General features: G+C 47.7%; 2 annotated features.

Annotated features, from left to right (window-relative positions):
* Positions 326 to 825: an enhancer, noted in NCBI's record as "H3K27ac hESC enhancer chr4:10855717-10856216 (GRCh37/hg19 assembly coordinates)". NCBI's record gives its function as "activates a minimal SCP1, AML or CMV promoter by ChIP-STARR-seq in naive H9 embryonic stem cells {active_cell/tissue: H9 hESC(naive)}" and the evidence as "EXISTENCE:reporter gene assay evidence [ECO:0000049][PMID:30033119]".
* Positions 826 to 1327: an enhancer, noted in NCBI's record as "H3K27ac hESC enhancer chr4:10855215-10855716 (GRCh37/hg19 assembly coordinates)". NCBI's record gives its function as "activates a minimal SCP1, AML or CMV promoter by ChIP-STARR-seq in naive and primed H9 embryonic stem cells {active_cell/tissue: H9 hESC(naive and primed)}" and the evidence as "EXISTENCE:reporter gene assay evidence [ECO:0000049][PMID:30033119]".

Here is a 2833-nt window from a genome sequence, read left to right as displayed (position 1 = left end):
AATTCCCTGGTTGGAGGGGGCCAAGATGGCCGAGTAGAAGCATCTACAGTCCATGGCATTCGTGGAGAGGATGAAAAGGAGCGAGTGAATACAGCACCTTCAACTGAAATATCCAGGTAGTTGCACTGGGACTTATCAGAGAAACAACTCAACCCATGGAGAACGAAGAAAAGCAGGGTGGGGTGACAGCCCACCCAAGAGTGATGCAGAGCCAAGGGAACCCTCACCCCCAGCCAAGGGAAGCAGTGAGTGACTGTGTGACCCTGGGAAACCACACTTCTGGATCTTTGCAACCCGTGGATCAGGAGATCCCCTTGGGAGCCCACTCCACTAGGGCCTTGAGCTCAACACACAGGGCTTTGTGGAGTCTTGGCAGAATAGCTGCTCAGACATGCAGAGAGACCTAAGAACTTGACATACTCCATCCCCAGGATCCCTAACAAATATATCTGCAACTCAGACATGGCAGGAGGTCCATGCATACCCCTAGAAAGGAGGTGGAATCCAGGGAGCCAAATAGCCTCATTCTGCAGGCCCCACTTCCACAGCACCTCACAAGATAAGACCCACTGGCTTGGAATTCCAGCCAGCTACCCGCAACAAGGTGAAGACTGCCTGAGATTGAGCGGAGCTCTTGATGGGAGGGGCAGGTGCCATCTCTGCTGTTTGGTGGATTCCCTCATTCCAGCCTGTGGGTTCTGAAGAGTCCAAACAGTCGAGACAAGGAAGGGTCCCCCCAAGCAATGCAACACAGAGGCTTTGCCAGATATGGCAAGACTGGTTCATTAAGCAGGGCCTGGATCCAGTCCTCCTCACTGGGTGGGACCTTCCAGCCACAACTGCTGGCACTTTATTACTGACAGAGCTCTGATCTGTCCCTGAGACAGAGTGCCTGGGGGAGGGGAAGGCTGCCACCTAGGTTGGTTGGACAATTCAGCTGTTACAGCCTGCGGGCTACAGAGAGTCCAAGCTGACAGGGGCAGAGGCAGTTCCCCACCACAATACAGCTGTTTTGTAGAGACATGACCAGGCAGCTTCTTTAAATGGGACCCTAATTCACTTCTCCTCACAGTGAGGGTCCTCCCAGCCAGGGTTTCTGGCCACTGCTCCATGTTCTATGGAGCTGCCAGAGCTTCAATTTCTCCCTGGGACAGAGGACCTTAGGGGCAAGACAGGCCACCAACTTGGCCATTCAGGCTCCTCAGCTGGTCCAGTCTACAGGCCTTAGAGAGCCCAGACCAATCAGGGACTGAAGGGATCCCCAACACAGCACAGCTGCTCAAACGAAAAACAGCCAGACTGCTTCTTTAAGTGGGTCCCTGACCCCATACCTCCTGACTGGGTGAGACCTCCCACTGGGTCTCCAACCACCCCCTACAGGCACATTTGGGCCAGCAATTGGTCAGCACCCCTTTGGGACAGAGCTTCCAAAGGAAAGGGCAGGCTGCCATCTTCGTTGTTTTGCAGGCTTCACTGGTGATACCTCCAGGTATGGAAAGAATCGAGGCAACTAGGCTCTGGAGAGAACCCCCAGCAAACCACAGCAGCCCTATGGAAGAATGGCCAGACTGTTAAAAGAAAAACAAAAACAGAAAACCACCACAACAAGAACAACAAAGAAAAACCACAAAAACCCCATCCAAATGTAAGCAACCTCAAAGATCTAAGGTAGATAAGCCCACAAAGATGAGAAAGAATTAATGAAAAAACACTGAAAACTCAAAAAGCTTTAGTGCCTCTTTTCCTCCAAATGACCGCAACACCTCTCCAGCAAGGACTCAAAAGTGGGCTGAGGCTGAGACAGCTAAAATGACAGAAGTAGGCTTCAGAAAGTGGGCAACAACAATTTCACCGGGCTAAAGGAGCACATTGTAACCCAATTCAAAGAAGCTAAGAATCATGATAAAACAATAAAGGAGCTGACAGCCAAAATAGCCAGTAAATAGAGGGACATAACTGACCTTTTTGAGCTGAAGAACACACCACAAGAATTTCACAATGCAATTGCAAGGATTATTAGCAGAAATGATCAAGCAGAGGAAAGAATCTCAGAGTGGGAAGACTGGCTTTCTGAATTAAGAAACACAGACAATAATAAAGAAAAAAGGAATGAACAAAACCTCTGAGAAATATGGGATTATGTAAAGAGGCCAAACCTATGACTGATTGGTGGACCTGAAAGAGACAGGGAGAATGGAACCAAGATGGAAAACATACTTCAGGATATCATCCAGGAGAACATCCCAAACCTAGAAAGACAGGTCAACATTCAAATTCAGGAAATGCAGAGAACCCCAGTAAGATACTCCACAAGAAAGTCATCTCCAGGACACAAAATCTTCAGATTCTCTAAGTTTGAAAGGAAAGAAAAAAAATGTTAAGGGCAGCCAGAGAGAAAGTCCACATCACCTACAAAGGGAAGCCTACCAGATTAATAGTGGACCTCTCAGTGGAAACTCTGCAAGCCAGAAGAATTTGGGGGCCTCTATTCAACATTCCTAAAGAAAAGAATTTCCAACCCAGAATTTCATGTCCAGACAAACTAGGCTTCATAAGTAAAGGAGAAATAAGATTCTGTTCACACAAGCAAATGGTGAGGGAATTTGCCACCACCAGACCTGCGTTGCAAGAGCTCCTGAAGGCTGCACTAAATATGGAAAGGAAAAGCTGTTACCATCCACTACAAAAACACACTGAAGTACACAGACCAGTGACACTATGAAGCAAACACATAAACAAGTCTGCAAAATAACCAGCTAGCATCATAATGACAGGATCAAATCCACATAAAACAATACTATCCTTAAATGTAAATGGGCTAAATGCCCCAGTT

The sequence above is a fragment of the Homo sapiens genome, chromosome 4, assembly GCF_000001405.40.
Source record: "Homo sapiens chromosome 4, GRCh38.p14 Primary Assembly".
In the NCBI taxonomy this organism is placed as follows: Eukaryota; Metazoa; Chordata; class Mammalia; order Primates; family Hominidae; genus Homo; species Homo sapiens.
The sequence above is the reverse complement of the archived record's forward strand: the minus strand, read 5'-3'. Positions and strand labels throughout refer to the sequence as shown.